Source organism: Homo sapiens, chromosome 12 (genome assembly GCF_000001405.40).
Source record: "Homo sapiens chromosome 12, GRCh38.p14 Primary Assembly".
In the NCBI taxonomy this organism is placed as follows: domain Eukaryota; kingdom Metazoa; phylum Chordata; class Mammalia; order Primates; family Hominidae; genus Homo; species Homo sapiens.
In genome coordinates, this window is record NC_000012.12 from 55,883,576 (window position 1) to 55,901,412 (window position 17,837).

Here is a 17,837-nt window from a genome sequence, read left to right on the forward strand (position 1 = left end):
CCCCAGCTACTTGAGAGGCTGAGACATGAGAATAGCTTGAACCCAGGAGGCAGAGGTTGCAATGAACCAAGATCATGCCACTGCACTCCAGCCTGGGCAACAGAGTGAGACTCTGTCTCAAAAAAAAAAGAAGCAAACACTGGTAGTGACCGTTCAAGGATGGTATTTGGGAGAATAAATCTTGGCAATGGACTTGAGTATTCAGGACACTTGACTAGGCCATCCCAACTGTGGAAGTAAATGCATCACACAATGGCAGCCTGATGTCTTCAATCTTTCTAGCGGTATAACTCACTCCCTGTATTAGTCCATTTTGCATTGCTATAACGGAATACCTAAGACTGGGTAATTTACAAAGAAAGGAGGTTAATTTGACTCACGGCCCTGCAGGCAGTACAAATATGGCACCAGTGAGGTCTTCCGAAGCTTTTACTCATGGCAGAAGGTGACGGGAGCAGTCGTGTCACATGGCGAGAGAGGAAGCAAGAGAGATTCCAGGCTCTTTTAAATAACCGGCTTTTGTGTGAGCTAATAGAGTGAGAACTCATTCATTACCATGGGGAGGGCACCAAGCCATTCATGAGGGATCTGCCCGCATGACCCAAACACCCACCTCCAGCCTCCAACATTGAAGGTCACATTTCAACATGAGATTTGGAGGGGACACACATCTAAACCAGGTCACTCCCCTAGTCCCAATTTCCATGCTGTGATAAGTTGAAAAATGTTCCCTGAAAAAAGATCTTAACTTCCTAATCCCTACAACCTGTAAACAATGCCTTATATGGCAAAAAAAAAAAAAAAAAAAAAGGTTGGGGGGCGGGGGGTGTCTTTGCAGATGTGATTAAGTTCAGGATCTTGAGATTATATTACTCTAGATTATGTGGCTGGGCCCCAAATACAATCACCTGTATCCTCATGAGAGAGAGAGAGATTTCACACACAAAGAGAGAAGACAATGTGAAGGAAGATAAAGGCAGGGATTGGAGTGATGCTGTCACAAACCAAGAAATGCTGGCAACTACCAGAAGCTGGAAAAGGCAAGGATTAGATTCTCCCCTATAGCCCCTGGGGAGGGAGAGTGCAGCCTTGTCAACACCTTGATTTTTCTTTCCTTTTTTTTTTTTCTGAGATAGAGTTTCACTCTTGTTGCCCAGGCTGGAGTGCAATGGTGCAAACTTGGCTCACTGCAACCTGTACCTCCTGGATTCAAATGATTCTCCTGCCTCAGCCTCCCAAGTAACTGGGATTACAGGCATGCACCACACACCCAGCTAATTTTGTATTTTTAGTAGAGATGGGATTTCACCACGTTGGTCAGGCTGGTCTCGAACTCCTGACCTCAGGTGATCCACCGGCCTCCCAAAGTGCTGGGATTACAGGTGTGAGCCACCGCACCTGGCTTTTTTTTCTTTTTCTGAGACAGGGTCTCGCTCTGCCACCCAGGCTGGAGTGCTGTGGCACAGTCATAGCTCACTGCAGCCTCCACCCCCTGGGCTCAATCGATCCTCCTAACTCACCCTCCCTAGTACTAGTAGCTCCCTAGTTGCTGGGACTACAGGCATGCACCACCATGCCTGGCCGACACCTTTGCTTTGATCCAGTGATACTGACTTTGGACTTCTAGCCTCTAGTACTTTGAGAGAATACATTTCTGCTATTTTAAGCCACCAAGTTGTGGTAATTTGTTATAGCAGTCACAGGAAACTAATATGCATACTCACCAAGTAACCTTCTGAATATAATTTGGTGAACCAAGGAGCAATGTTTGTGGGCAGTGAGAGTGCTGGTTGTGCTGACTCAAGTGTTCTATTCCTCATGGTAGGTTTGGTTTGTATAAAATGATAAACTGACATTCTAATTTATATGTTCTAGTTTATAAATCAGCCTTGTAAGCTTGACTAATATGGGTCTATCCTCAAGAATTGGATCTACTGTCTGTGCTGACAAAACCAGATGTCTGTAGGGATATTGGCAAGATCCAGACCATGGTCAACACATCAGGAAAAGAAATACTATTTTGTTGAGGTATCTTGAGAAGTACATACCTGGTTTCTCCTCATTTTCCATGATCTTACCATCAGTTCTCTATTTCAAAACTTCATCAATAATAACTAACTTTAGGCTGGGCATGATGGCTCATGCCTGTAACTCCAACACTTTGGGAAGCCCAGGCAGGAGGACCACCTGAAGCCAGAAGTTCACAACCAGCCTGGGCAATATAGCAAGACCCTGTCTCTACAAATAAAATTTAAAAATCAGCCCAGGCATTGTGGTGCATGCCTGTAGTCCTAGCTACTTGGGTGGCTGAGGTGAGAGGATTGCTTGAGCACAGTAGGTGGAAGTTGCAGTGAGCTGAGATCACGCCACGGCACTCCAGCCCAGGAGACAGAGGGAGACTCTGTCTCAAAAAGAAAAAAAAAAAAGAACTGAGATTTGAACCCGGTATTCTGAGAGCAAACCCTGGGAACTAGATTTGTTCAAAAAACAAACAGCTATATTATGTTTCATTATACACTAGGTACCAAGAATCATGGATTTAGAAATGGATAAGACTAGTCATTTCTACAGCCATGAGGAGCTCCTAACCTAGTAGGAATAAATAGAAATAATTCGCTGAATTTGCCTTTGTATTTTAGTGTTTGAGGATTGTTACAGCCTGCACTTTATTATCTGAAACACTATTGTTAGATAAGGCATTGTTTTTACAACCCATTTAAAACAAGCTTGTCACTCAAGGAGAGGAACTCCAGGCAGAAGGAATTCATATCAGGTTGGGCACTGTGGCTCACACCTGTAATCCCAGCACTTTGGGAGGCCAAGGCAGGTGGATCGCCTGAGGTAAGGAGTTCAAAACCAGCCTGGCTAACATGGTGAAACCCCATTTCTACTAAAAATGCAAAAAATTATCCGGGCATGGTGGCGCCTGCCTGTAATCCCAGCTACTCGGGAGGCTGAGGCAGGAGAATCTCTTGAACCCAGGAGGCAGAGGTTGCAGTGAGCTAAGTTCACGCCATTGCATTCCAGTTTGGGCAACAAGAGCGAAACTCCATCTCAAAACAACAACGACAACAACAACAAAATTAATCAGGCCTGGTGGTGCGTGCCTGTAATCCCAGCTACTTGGGAGGCTGAGGCAGGAGGAGGAGGAGGTTGCAGTGAGCTGAGATCACGCCACTGCGCTCTACCCTAGGCGACAAGAGCAAGATCCATCTCAAAAAAAAAATTATCCTTTTACAACATAGTTCTTTATTTTTTTTTCTAATCTATCTTCAGATAGAATAGTGGGTTTTGGGGTTTTTTTTGGTGGCTATATGGCATTTTATTGTATATCATATTATATTTCACCAGTGGTCTGTTTGGGGACATTAAAATTGAATTCTTTGTTTTTGTTTTGTTTTGTTCCATTTTGTTTTGTAAAACTACTCTTTAAAAATCCATATGACTAAATCTTTACACATCTCATTTTTTCCTTAGGAAAAATTCTTAGTATAATTACTGTGTCAAAGAAAATGTACCATCTTAGCTCTCTCGTTTTTAATTTTTTCCTTATTTTTTAATTGTGATAAAATATACATAACATAAAATGTACCATTTTAACCATCTTTTTGTCTGTGTGTGAGACTGAGTCTCACTCTGTCACCCAGGCTGGGTATAGTGACATACTTGTAGCTCACTGCAGTCTTGATCTTCTGGGGTCAAGCATTCCTCTCACCCCAGCCTCCTGAGTAGCTAGGACTACAGGCATGCACCACCATGCCTAGCTAATTTTTTAATGTTTTTATAGAAATGGGTTCTTGCTATATTACCCAGGCTGGTCTCAAACTCCTGACCTCAAGCAATCCTCCTGCCTCAGCCTCCCAAAGTGCTGGGAAAACAGGCATGAGCCACCACACTTGGCCATTTTAACTGTATTTAAGTGTATAATGCAGTGGCATTAAGTACATTCACAATGTGTTGTAACCATCACACGATTTCTAGAACTCTTCAATTATCCCAAACAAAAACTCTATATCCATAAAGCAATAACTCTCAATTCTCCCTCCTAGTCCTTGGCAACCGCTATTCTACTTATATCTATGAATACATCTATTCTAAGTACCTCTTATAAGTAGAATCATACAATATTTTTCCTTTTCTGTCTGGTTTATTTCACTTAGCATAATATTTTTAAAGTTCATCCACATTGAAGCAAGTTTCATAATTGTATTCCTTTTCGTGGCTGAACAGTATTCCATCCTATGTATATACCACATTTTGTTTAACTATTCATCTGTTGATGGATAATTAACAGATGGGTTAACCAACTTGGGTTGTTTGTGCTTTTTGGCTATCGGCCTCTAATACTTTTAACAAACTGTCCATACAAGAAATTTGCACCACCAGAAATATGTGAATGTACCCATTTCCCTGAGTCTTACCGACAGTGGACTCTTTATTTATTTATTTTATTTATTTATTTTTGAGACAGAGTCTCATTCTATCACACAAGCTGGAGTGCAGTGGCGTGACCTCGGCTCACTGCAACCTCTGTCCCCTGGGCTCAAGTGATCCTCCTGCCTCAGCCTCCCGAGAAGCTGGGATTACAGGTGTGTGCTGCCATGCCCGGCTAATTTTTTTGTATTTTTAGTAGAGACAGGGTTTTACCATGTTGGTCAGGCTGATCTCAAACTCCTGACCTCAAGTGATCCGCCTGCCTTGACCTCCAAAATGCTGGGATTACAGGTGTGAGCCACCATGCCCAGCCTCTTTTTATTTAAACAACACAATAGTAAAGTATATCTTATTGCTGTTTTACTTTTCCTTTCTAACAAAGACGCATTCCATATATGGGAACAAAGATAACAATGTAAGTCTAAAGACAATAGAATGACACCTTTGAAGTATTAAAAAATGTGAACCTAAAATGTTATACCCAGTGAAAATGGAATTGTATATTTATGACCATGACAAAGTAACTGGTATCTGACTAACCCATCTACCATTTTAAAAACTTAAACTGTACACAATATGTGAAACAACATTTTTCAGATGTTAGACAAAGGCAGCATAGGATTATGATCCCTGAGAAAAGGAAAGAAAACAAATTGTGTAAGCCTTTCAATTATCCCAACTATCTGCCAGAGAAACTTTCCAGACTGGCACAGGAATGGGAAACCTAAGCAGAGCACAGTAGTTTTGCTGAGTTGAAGGGTCAAAGATCAGAGTTCGGGGAGATTGAGGAGGTAGATATTACGGAAGAGAGTACAGGAAAGAAGGGAGCTATGCAAAGAAACAGCTCCACGTTGGCCTCCCAAAGTACTGGGATTACAAGTGTAGGCCACCACATGCAGCCATGAAAACCAATTATCAAAGCCAGGCGTGGTGGCTTACGCCTGTAATCCCAGCACTTTGGGAGGCCAAGGCAGGTGGATCACAAGGTCAGGAGTTCAAGACCAGCCTGGCCAAGATGGTGAAACCCCATCTCTACTAAAAATACAAAAATTAGCTGGGCGTGGTGGCGTGTGCCTGTAGTCCCAGCTGCTTGGGAGGCTGAGGCAGGAGAATCACTTGAACCCAGGAGGCAGAGGTTGCAGTGAGCCAAAATCGCAGTACTGCACTCTAGTCTGGGTGACAGAGGGATACTCCATCTCCAAAAAAAAAAAAAAATTATCAAAAGGAAATCTGAAAAGAAGCCAGAGAAAAAGATAAGTTACATATAGGGAAGCAAGGATAAGAATAATCACCGACTTATTGGAAATAATGCAGGCCAGAAGACAATAGAATGACATATTCAAAGTGCTAAAAGAAAAAGATGTCAAGCTAGAATTTTGTATCCAGTGGAAGTAACATATACCCATCAAACACAAAAACATTTTTAGACAAACAAAAGTTGAAAATGTTATCATTTGCACTACAAGAAATTTTAAAGGAGGTTCTGCAGATTGAAGAAAAATGATATTAAATGGTAACTGAGGCCGGGCGCGGTGGCTCACGCCTGTAATCCCAGCACTTTGAGAGGCCGAGGCAGGCGGATCACAAGGTCAGGAGCTCGATACCATCCTGGTTAACATGGTGAAACCCCATCTCTACTAAAAATACAAAAAAAAAAAAATTAGCCAGGCGTGGTGGCAGGCGCCTGTAGTCCCAGCTACTCGGGAGGCTAACGCAGGAGAATGGCGTGAACCCGGGAGGCGGAGTTTGCAGTGAGCTGGGATCGCACCACTGCACTCCAGCCTGGGCAACAGAGCAAGACTCCATCTCAAAAAAAAAAAAAAAAAAAGGTAACTGAGATCTACACACACAATAAAAGGCCATGCAGGAGTTAGAGACCAGCCTGAGCAGCATAACAAGATTCTGTTCCTACAGAAAAAAAATTGTTTTAATTAGCCAGGTGTGGTCACATGTGCCTATAGTCCTAGCTGCTTAGAAGGCTGAGGTGGGAAGATTGCTTGAGTACAAGGTTGCAGTGAGCTGTGATCGCACCACTTGCACTCCAACCTGGGTGACAGAGTGAGACCCTCTCAAAAAAGAAAAAGAAGGAAGAAAGAAGAAGAGGAAGGAAGAAGAAAGGGCATAGGAAATAGTAAACATGTACGTAAATATATTTTTTAATTTTTTTAATTATTTAAAAGAGCCAGGGCTGAGCACCGTGGCTCATGCCTGTTATCCTAGGACTTTGGGAGGCCCAGGTGGGAAGATTACTTGAGGCCAGGAGTTTGAGACCAGGCTGGCCAACATGATGAAACCTCATCTCTACCAAAAAATACAAAAATTAGCTCGGCTTGGTGGCACATCCCTGTCATCTCAGCTACTCGGGAGGCTGAGGCAGGAGAATCACTTGAACCCGGGAGGCAGAGGTTGCAGCAAGCCAAGATCACGCCACTGCACTCCAGCCTGGGTGACAGAGCAAGACTCCATCTCAAAAAAAAAAAAAAAAAAAAAAAAAAAAGTCAAAAATAATAATAGTGTATTGTGGGATATAATAGGTTTATAATATATGTAGAAGTAAGTACAAAGTATGACAACAATAGCAAAAAGGATGGGAGAGGGGAAAATAGAAGTATGATTTTATAAAGTTTTTACATTACATATGAAGTGGTATAATATTATTTGGGGCCGGCATCGGTGGCTCACGCCTGTAATCTCAACACTTTGGGAGGCCGAGGCGGGCAGATCACTTGAGGTCAGGAGTTTGAGATCAGCCTCGCCAGCACGGCAAAATCCCATCTCTACTAAAAATACAAAAAAAAAATTAGCCAGGCGTGGTGGTGGGTGCCTGTAATCCCAGCTACTCAGGAGGCTGAGGCAGGAGAATCTCTTGAGCCCAGAAGGCAGAGGTTGCAGTGAGCCAAGATCATGCCATTGCACTCCAGCCTGGGCGATAAGAGCGAAACTCCATCTCAAAAAAAAATTAAAAAAAAAAAAAAAAAAAATATATATATATATATATATATACACACACACACACACACACACACATATAAAATCATGTATTATAATATATAAATATGATTATATATTATAATATATAAATATGATTATATATTATTTGAATGTAGACTAATAAATTAAAGATACCTATGGTAAACCTTAGAGTAACCACTGAAAAAAATAAGAAATATAAGGGGAGATAATGTGAAATATCAAAAATAATCCAAAGACAGCAGGAAAAGAGGAAGAAAGCAAAAGTAAGTTGGGTACTGTGGCTCATGCCTGTAATCCTAACACTATGTGAGGCTGACGTGGGCAGATTGCTTGAACCCATGAGTTCAAGACCAGTCTAGGCCACATGGCAAAACCCCATCTTTACTGAAAATACAAAAAATTAGCCAAACGTGGTAGCATGTGCCTGTAGTCTCGGCTGCTCAGGAGGCTGAGGGAGGACCACTTGAGCCCAGGAGGTTGAGGCTGCAGTGAGCCATGCTTGTGCCACTGCACTACAGCCTGGGCAACACAGCAAGACTCCGTCAAAAAAAAAAAAAAAGAAAAAGAAAAAAAGGATGGAACAAACAGAAAACAAACAACACTATGGGAGATTATGGTAGACTTAAACCCAACCGTCTCAATAGAAATTGTCTCTTTAAGTACTTTGCCTGTTTTTCTGTTGGAGTAGTTGTCTTTTCTTGTTGATTTGCAACAGCTCTTTGTATATTAAAATATAAATTCTTTGTTATATAATATAGCCTTTGTTATATATAAATGTTATGCTTAGGAAACGTTTCCCTTTCCAAAAGAGTGTTGTGACAAGCAAGATAAGAGGAATAGCATAAACTTAGACCCTGAGGTAGAAAAGCATTAGCTATGTTCAGGAAGTAGTAAGTAGGTGGGTTTGTCTGTAAAAGGCACTTAAGGGAATTATACGGTATAAGATTGAAAGAGTAATTTAGGACCAGAACATAGTGTGCCTTGATTATTCAATGGACGAACTTAGTCTCCACCAGGTAGAGCAAAGTGAACTACTAAAGGTGGTTGTTCAATGAAATGTACCATCAACATTGGGCTTTAGGGAAGTAAATCTTGTTGAAAATCAAAGTGTTTAGGACATACTGGGGAAGTGGGTGGTGGGGAGAGACCTAAGTTGAAGACCAGTTAGTGTGGACCACTGGTTTGTAGTAGTCCAAATGAGAAGTAACTAAGATATCCACCTGGGTAATAAAAATATTGATACAAATTATTATGATCACCATAAAAGCTCATAGCCTCAGGCTTCCTTCAGTGTTTGGTTTTTAGACAAGTTGAATTTTAAGCATCAACACCAAAATAGGAGATATCTGATGGTTTTAGAGAGATGACTGGGCTAGAAAAAGATTGGGCATTATTAGCATAGATGTAATTATTGAAATCACAGGAGTAAATGAAGACACCAAGGGAGACTTGAGTACAGCAGAAATGTGTGGATTTTCAGGATGTTAGAGAGATACTATTAATTTTTCCAGACTCAGCCTTGGCCTCCATGTCATCTCCTCTGGGAAGCCTTCCCTGAGCACCATCTCCCCATCCCCATCTTCATAGCTGACTGAAGAGTCCACTCTCAGCCGGGCGTGGTGGCTCACACCTGTAATCACAGCAATTTGGGAGGCTGAAGTGGGCGGATCACTTGAGGTCAGGAGTTCGAGACCAGCCTGGCCAACATGATGAAACCCCATCTCTACTAAAAGTACAAAAATTAGCTGGGCGTGGTGGTGCACACCTGTAATCCCAGTTACTCAGGAGGCTGAGGCAGGAGAATCGCTTGAACCCGGGAGATGGAGGTTGTAGTGAGCTGAGATTGCGCCACTGCACTCCAGCCTGGGCGACAAGAGCAAGACTCTGTCTCAAAAAAAGAGTCCACTCTCTGCTTCCATAGCACCCTGTGTATGTCCCTATTAGGGTACTTATCACCTTGTATTGTGGTTGGGTATTGACCTGTGTTTCCCTTTAGTTTCTAGAAAGGAAAATTTATTCAACTTTCTATTATTCTGGCCTATAGAATGCTCTTGAAAAATGTTTTTATATTCAATATTTTCATTTATTCAAATTCTATGACTTGTTGCTTTCCCAAAGAAGAGATCCTTTAACATTTCCTTTTTCTCCTCCTCTCAGCCAATTATATTACCCCACACAGCCAGTTGTTCATTTGGGGTATAACCCCTATCCCTTCCACTGCAATAGAACATCTTCTTTAATCTCCAGGAGAGAATGGAATGCATTCCTGATCTTTAAGAGGTGGCAATATTGACCAAAAAATGTACCTGCTTCATCTTAGATTTTCTATCCTCCTCAATTTGTTCATCTAGGTTATATTTGGGAAGGAGAGGAAGATCTAGATACCCTTTCCTGAAATTATTGGGAGCCTGGGGAGAAAAAATTATCTAACAAAATAAACCTATCTGCTACTCTGAAAAAAAGCTGGAGTTTAGGGTCAAGGTAACTTGCAAACATTGGCTCCTCCTAGTACGACCTAGTGGACAATAATAAACTAACACATAGGTTCTGAGCCCATGAAAGTAAATGACCAGTCCTAAAACAACTCACTTCCAGATCCCTAGAATCTTGCTATTTGCACATCATGAGAGAATCACATGCAAGGCGGAGAGCAAGATTAAATAAATAGCCTTAGAAATAGAAAAGAAAGTCAAGGGATAATTTAATTTGCCATAAACTACACGGGCCCATTGGGGAAGTAATTAAAATAATATCCTTCTACCTCACACATCCCAAATATAGGAACCAGAAGAAGGAAAGGATGCGTGATACCTCAGCCTCTCACAATTGATTGTTATCAGTGGCTATCAAATTTATTATATATATATATAGTATTATGTACAGTTATGTGTTGCTTAGCAACAGAGATGTGTTCTGAGAAATGCATCATTAGGCCTTTTCATCACTGTGCAAACATTATAGAGTGTACTTACATACTAGATGGTATAACCTCCTACACACCTAGGTTATATAGTATGGCCTATTGCTCTTAGGCTACAAACCCCTATGGCATATACAAGCATCTACTGAATACTGTAGGCAAATGTAACACAATAGTAATTTATTTGTGTATCTAAACATGTAAACATAGAAAAGGTACAGAAAAATTAGGATATAAAAGGTAAAAAATGGTACACCATGAATGGAGCTTGCAGGACTAGAAGTTGCTCTGGGTGAGTCAGTGAGTGAATGTGAAGGCCTAGGACATTATTGTACACTGCTGTAGACTTTATTAAAGTATACTTAGCCTGCACTAAATTTATAAGAAAGTATTTTTCTTCAATAATAATTTAACCTTAGTTTACTATAAGTTTTTTTTTTTCTTTTTTCTTTTTTGAGATGGAGTCTCACTGTGTCACCCAGTAGAGTGCAGTGGTGCAATTTCAGCTCACTGCAACCTCCACCTCCCGGGTTCAAGTGATTCTCCTGCTTCAGCCTCCCGAGAAGCTGGGATTACAGGCACACACCACCACACCTGGCTAAGTTTTTGTCTTTTTAGTAGAGACAGAGTTTCACCTTGTTGGCCAGGCTGGTCTCGAACTCCTGGCATCAAGTGATAAACCCACCTCGGCCTCCCAAAGTGTTGGGATTACGGGCGTGAGCCACTACACCCAACTGATGTTTTTACTTTACAAACTTTTAAATTTTTTGTTAACTTTTTGACTCTTTTGTAAAAAACACTTAGCTTAAAACAGAAACACATTGTACAGCCGTACAAAAATATTTCTTTATATCCTTATTCTATAAGCTTTTTTCTATTTTTATTTATTTACTTATTTATTTTGAGATGGTGTCTTGCTCTGTTACCCAAGCTGGAGTGCAGTGGCGTGATCTCGGATCACTGCAACCTCTGCCTCCTGGGTTCAAGCAATTTTCCTGCCTCAGCCTCCTGAGTAGCTGGGATTACAGGCACACACCACAGTGCCCAGCTAATTTTTTTGTATTTTTAGTAGAGACCGGGTTTCACCATGTTGGCCAGGCTGGTCTTGAACTCCTGATCTCAAGTGATCCACCCGCCTCGGCCTCCCAAAGTGCTGGGATTACAAGGCGTGAGCCACCACGCCCGACTCTTTTTTCTATTTAAAAAATTTTTATTTTATTTGTATTGTATAAACTTTTTTGTTAAAAACTAAGACATGGGACAGGGCGCAGTAACTTTTAGTAATGTTTTAGTAACTTTTAGTCTCCACTAAAAATACAAAAAAAAAACATAATTGGGCGTGGTGACACACGCCGTAGTCCCAGCTACTCAGGGAGGCTGAGGGAGGAGAATTTCTTGAACTCAGGAGGCAGAGGTTGCAGTGAGCCAAGATAGCATCACTGCACTACAGCCTGGGTGACAGAGGGAGACTCCATCTCAAAAAACAAAACAAAACAAAAACAAACAAACAAAAAAAAAACCCCTAAGACATGGGAGCTGGGCGTAGTGGCTCATGCCTGTAATCCCAGCACTTTCGGAAGTTGAGGTGGGCTGACTGCTTGAGCCTAGGAGTTTGAGACCAGCCTGAGCAACATAGTCAGAACCCATCTCTAGAAAAAAATTTAAAAAATTAGCGGAGTGTGGTGGCACATACCTGTAGTCCCAGCTACTAAGGACGCTGAAGTGGGAGGATCACCTGAGTCCAAGGATTTAAGGCTGCAGTAAGCCGTTATCGTACCACTGCACTCCAGCCTAGGTGACAGAGATCCTGTCTCAAAAAAAGAAGGCCGGGAGTGGTGGCTCATGCCTGTATCCCAGCACTTTGGGAGGCCGATGCAGGCAGATCACTTGAAGTCAGGAGTTAGAGACCAGCCTAGACAACATGGTGAGACCCCGTATCTACTAAAAATACAAAAATTAGCCAGGCATGGTGGTGCACCTGTAATCCCAGCTACTGGGGAGGCTGAGGCAGGAGAATCATTTGAACCCGGGAGGTGGAGGTTGCAGTGAGCCTAGATCGTGTCACTGCACTCCAGCCTGGGCAACAGAGCAAGACTCTGTCTCAAAAAAAAAAGAAAATTAACTGAGCATGATGGAGTAAGCCTATGGTCCCAGCTACATAGGAGGCTGAGGCAGAAGGATCACTTGAGCCCAGAAGTCAAGGCTGCACTTAGCTGTGTTTTCACCACTGCACTCCAGCTTGAATGACAGAGAGGTGCTGCCTCACAAAAACAAAAACAAAAGCTAACAGACATATTAGCTTAGGCCTACACAGGATCAGGATCATCAATATCACTGTCTTCCACCACCACATTTTGTCCCACTGGAAGGTTTTCTGGGGCAATAACACACATGGTGCTGTCATCTCCTATAACAATGCCTCCTTCTAGAATATCTCCTGAAGGATCTTCCTGAGGCTGTTTTACAGTTAACTTTTTTTTTTTTTTGAGACAGATTCTCGCTCTGTTGCCCAGGCTGGAGTGCAGTGGCATGAACTTGGCTTACTGCAAGCTCTGCTTCCCAGTTCAAGCAATTCTCCTCCCTCAGTCTCCCGGGTAGCTGGGATTACAGGCGCGTGTCACCACACCTGGCTAATTTTTGTATTTCCTAGTAAAGAGGGGGTTTCACCACATTGGCCAGGCTGGTCTCGAACTCCTGACCTCAGGTTATCCACCCGCCTCGGCCTCCCAAAGTGCTGGGATTACAGGCATGAGCCACTGAGCCTGGCCAATAATGGTTTTTAAAGTATAGATTCCTGTAAGATATCTAAATTTACAAAGCATCAAACATCTCTGTATAAGCCAATTAAATCTCACATATAAAATCTCTATAATTTTATAGGGATCCTATGAAAGGGAACTCAGGCTGCTTTTGGTCTCACACTTGACTGGGGTGCTCAGTCAAGTACTCATTAACTGTTCAGCTGTGCGTGAGGCACTAATTATCCCCCATCTTCTGTTCTGCACATGACTTGCAGCCTCATTCAGTCAAATATTTGAGAATGTACTATGTCAGGGACTGAGGATGCAATGATGATAAATACAATCCCAGGGCTTGAGGAGTTCATAGTTTAATAAGGAGGAGGGCTGGCTGGGCACAGAGGCTCACGCCTGTAATCCCAGCACTTTGTGGGGCTGAGGCTGGCGGATCACCTGAGGTTGGGAGTTTGAGACCAGCCTGACCAACGTGGAGAAACCCTGTCTCTACTAAAAATACAAAAATCAGCCAGGCGTGGTGGTGCATGCCTATAATTCCAGCTACTCGGGAGGCTGAGGCAGGAGAATTGCTGGAAGCCGGGAGGCGGAGGTCATGGTGAGCTGAGATTGTGCTCCAGCCTGGGCAACAAAAGCAAAACTTTATCTTAGAAAAAAATAAAAAATAAATGCTACTACAAAAGTTAAGTTTGAGCTGGGCGCAGTGGCTCACGCCTGTAATCCCAGCACTTTGGAAGGCTGAGGCGGGCACTCACTTGAGGTCAGGAGTTCAAACCCAGCCTAGCAAATATGGTAAAACCTGTATCTACTAAAAATTAAAAAAAAAAAAAATTAGCCAAGCATGGTGGTGCACGCCTATAATCCCAGCTACTCAGGAGGCTGATATAGGAGAATCGCTTGGACCTGGAAGGTGGAGGTGACAGTGAGCTGAGATCACGCCACTGCACTCCAGCCTGATGACAAGAGTGAGACTTCATCTGAAAAAAAAAAAAAAAAAAAAGAAGCCAGGAATGGTGGCTCACGCCTGTAATCCCAGCACTTTGAGATGCCAAGGCTGGTGGATCGCTTGATGTCAGGAATTCAAGACCAGCCTGACCAACATGGTGAAACTCTGTCTCTACTAAAAATACAAAATTAGCCAGACATGGTGGCACACACCTGTAATCCCAGCTACTTGGGAGGCTGAGGCAGGAGAATCACTTGAACCTGGGAGGCAGAGTTTGCAGTGATCTGAGATCACACCATTGCACTCCAGCCTGGGCAACAACAGCAAAACTCCATCTCAAAAAAAAAAATAAAAAAAAAAAAAAGAAGAAGGCTGGGTGTGGTGGCGTGAGCCTGTAGTCCCAGCTACTTGGGAGGCTGAGGCAGGAGAATCACTTGAACCCAGGAGGCAGAGGCTGCAGTGAGCCGAGGTCGCGCCACTGCACTCCAGCCTGGGTGACAGAGCAAGACTGTCTCAAAAAAAAAAAAAAGTAAGTTTGGAGTTAAAAAGGAAGCAAATAAAGGTGCATAAATTAACATTTGAGAGTACAAGGCAGGCGGATCACCTGAGGTCAGGAGTTCGAGACCAGCCTGGCCAACATGATGAAACCCCGTCTCTACTAAAAATACAAAAATTAGCCCGGTGTGGTGGCACACGCCTGTAATCCCAGCTACTCAGGAGGCCGAGACAGGAGAATCACTTGAACCTGTGAGGCAGAGGTTGCAGTGAGCCAGGATCATGCCACTGCACTCCAGCCTGGGTGACAGGGTGAGACTCCATCTCAAAAAAAAAAGACTTCAAGACCAGCCTGTCCAACATGGTGAAACCTCGTCTCTTACTACAAATACAAAAATTAGCTGAGCATGGTATTGGGTGCCTGTTACCCCAGCTACTCAGGAGGCTGAGGCAGGAGAATTGCTTGAACCTGGGAGGCGAAGGTTGCAGTGAGTCAAGATTGCACCACTGCACTCTAGCCTGGGCAATAGAGCAAGACTCCATCTAAAAAAAAATATATATATATATATATATATTTATATATACACATATTATTTGTGTGTGTGTATATATACATATATATGTGCATATATATACACACTATATATAGTATATATATATACACACACATATATATGTATGTGTATATATATGTATGTGTGTGTGTGTATATATGAATAAAGGAAGGCTTCCCAGAGAGAATAACATTTAAGAGAGCCAAAGGCTAAGAAAAAGTTCATTAGGGGCCAGGCTCGGTGGCTCACGCCTGTAATCCTAGCACTTTGAGAGGCTGAAGCAGGCAGGTGGCTTTAGCTCAGGAGACCACCCTAGGTAACATAGTGAAACCCCGTTTCTATCAATTAAAAAAAAAGTTCATTAGGGGGTCAGGAAGTGTTCTAGGCAGAGGGACAAGCAGAGGCAAAGGACTGAGACTCAGACAGAATATGGTTCATCTGAAGAACTGAAAGAAGTTCAGTATAGCTGCAGCAATGAGTTTGATCAGAGTTGGAGAATGGAAAGACATGACGCTGGAGTTAAGTAGGGCCAGATTATATGTGAGCTTATGAGTCAGGCTAAGAACTCTGAACTCTTGAGATAGTTCATTACAGCTGACTTCCCACTCCTTTCATCTCCACCCCCACAGCTAGCTAGAGAAAAAGGCTGCGATAAATGAGGGTATGGAAACCAGAGGACATGTAAAAATTAAGTGACAGATCTTTTGGGTGTAAGTTCCTCTACATGTATCACTAATTTGCCCCACAATGCCATCTTGGGGTGGCATCTAAGAAGGTGAAATTTCAAAAGAGTTGTCCTAGGTGCAGCTGTGAAATAAGATTATCTTCAGAAACAGTAAGGAAGGTACAGAACTCCCGTTGCTATTCAGCACACTAATGGCAACATATAAATTAACATGTCAAGTTAAATTTGTTCTAAGTTTCATTTGATTATAACACTAATTCGTCTACTGAAGTCTCAGCAAACATGCAGAAATTAGTGTTGCTAATTTGGTCATAAACTCACAATTTTTAAAAATTAAATACCTCTGGCCGGGTGCAGTGGCTCACGCCTGTAATCTCAGCACTTTGGGAGGTTGAGACAGGTGGATCACCTGAGATCAGGAGTTCGAGACCAGCCTGGCCAACATGGTGAAACCCCATCTCTACTAAAAATAAAAATAAAAATAAAAATAATTAGTCAGGCGTGGTGGTGCACGCCTGTAATCCCAACTACTCAGGAGGCTGAGGCAGGAGAATCGCTTGAACCCAGGAGGTGGACATTGAAGTGAACTGAGATCATGACACTGCACTCCAGCCTGGGCAACAAGAGCAAAACTCCATCTCAAAAAAAAAAAAATTAAATACCTCAGGCTGGGCTCGGTGGCTCACGCCTGTAATCCCACTTTGGGAGGCCAAGGCAGGTGGATCACCTGAGGTCAGGAGTTCAAGACCAGCCTGACCAACATAGTGAAACCCAGTCTCTACTAAATACAAAAAATTAGCCAGGCTTGGTGGTGGGCACCTGTAATCCCAGCTACTTGGGAGGCTGTGGCAGGAGAATCACTTGAACCCGGGAGGCGGAGGTTGCAGTGAGCCGAGATTGCACCATTGCACTCCAGCCTGGGCAACAAGAGGGAAACTCTGTCTCAAAAATAAAGTAAATAAATAAATACCTCACCCTCATCTATACCAACTACGAGGTGGGCAAGGGTGACTTATGTGAAGGCACTCCCCAGGCAACTGAAGCCTTTTGAGACCCTGCCGTCCCAGAACCAGGGAGGATAGGCCTTCATTGTGGGCGACCAGATATCCCTCGCTTACTACAACCTGCTGGACTTGCTGATCCATGAGGTCCTGGCCACCAGCTGCCTGGATGTGTTCCCCCTGCTCTCGGCCTACATGGCACACCTCAGCGTCCGGCCCAAGCTCAAGGCCTTCCTGGCCTCCACTGAGCACCTGAACCACCCCATCAATGGCAACGGGAAACAGTGAGGGCTGGGGGGACACTCGGCGGGAGGCAGGGGCCGTTTGCCTCCCTTTCTCCAGGACCAACGAAGTTTCTAAGAGAAAAAAAAAAAATTAAAAGAAATATTGGGCTGGGTGTGGTGGCTCACACCTGTAATCCTAGCACTTTGGGAGGCTGAACTGGGTGGATCACCTGAGGTCAGGAGTTTGAGACCAGCCTGGCCAACATGCTGAAACTGTCTCTACTAAAAATACAAAAATTAGAGGGGGTGTGGTGGTGGGTGCCTATAATCCCAGCTACTCGGGAGGCTGAGGCAGGAGAATTGCTTGAACCCGGGAGGCAGAGGTTGCAGTGAGCTGAAACCGCGCCACTACACTCCAGCCTGGCAGACAGAGCGAGACTCCATCTCACAAAAAAAGAAAAAGAAAAAAATATATATCGGCTGGGCACAGTAACTCATGCCTAAAATCCCAGCACTTTAGGAGGCCAAGGTGGGTTGATCACCTGAAATTAGGAGTTCAAGACCAGCCTGGCCAACATGGTGAAACCCCATCTCTACTAAAAAATTAGCCAGGTGTGGTGGTGGGCACCTGTAATCACAGCTACTCGGGAGGGAGGCTGAGGCAGGAGAACTGCGTGAACTCAGGAGACAGAGTTTGCAGTGAGCCCAGATTACGTCACTGCACTCCAACCTGGGCAACAGCACAAAACTCTGTCTCGAAAAGAAAAGAAATCACTCCCAATACTTGTCTTCCTGTGCCAAACTCAGGAGATACAATATCTACTAGGAGCTGAAAATAAGGAGGCAAAGCCA

The 17,837-nt window shown here is 43.3% G+C and overlaps 1 pseudogene; it reads left to right on the plus strand.

Annotated features, from left to right (window-relative positions):
* GSTP1P1 (glutathione S-transferase pi 1 pseudogene 1) lies at positions 16,725-17,125 on the plus strand (annotated as a pseudogene).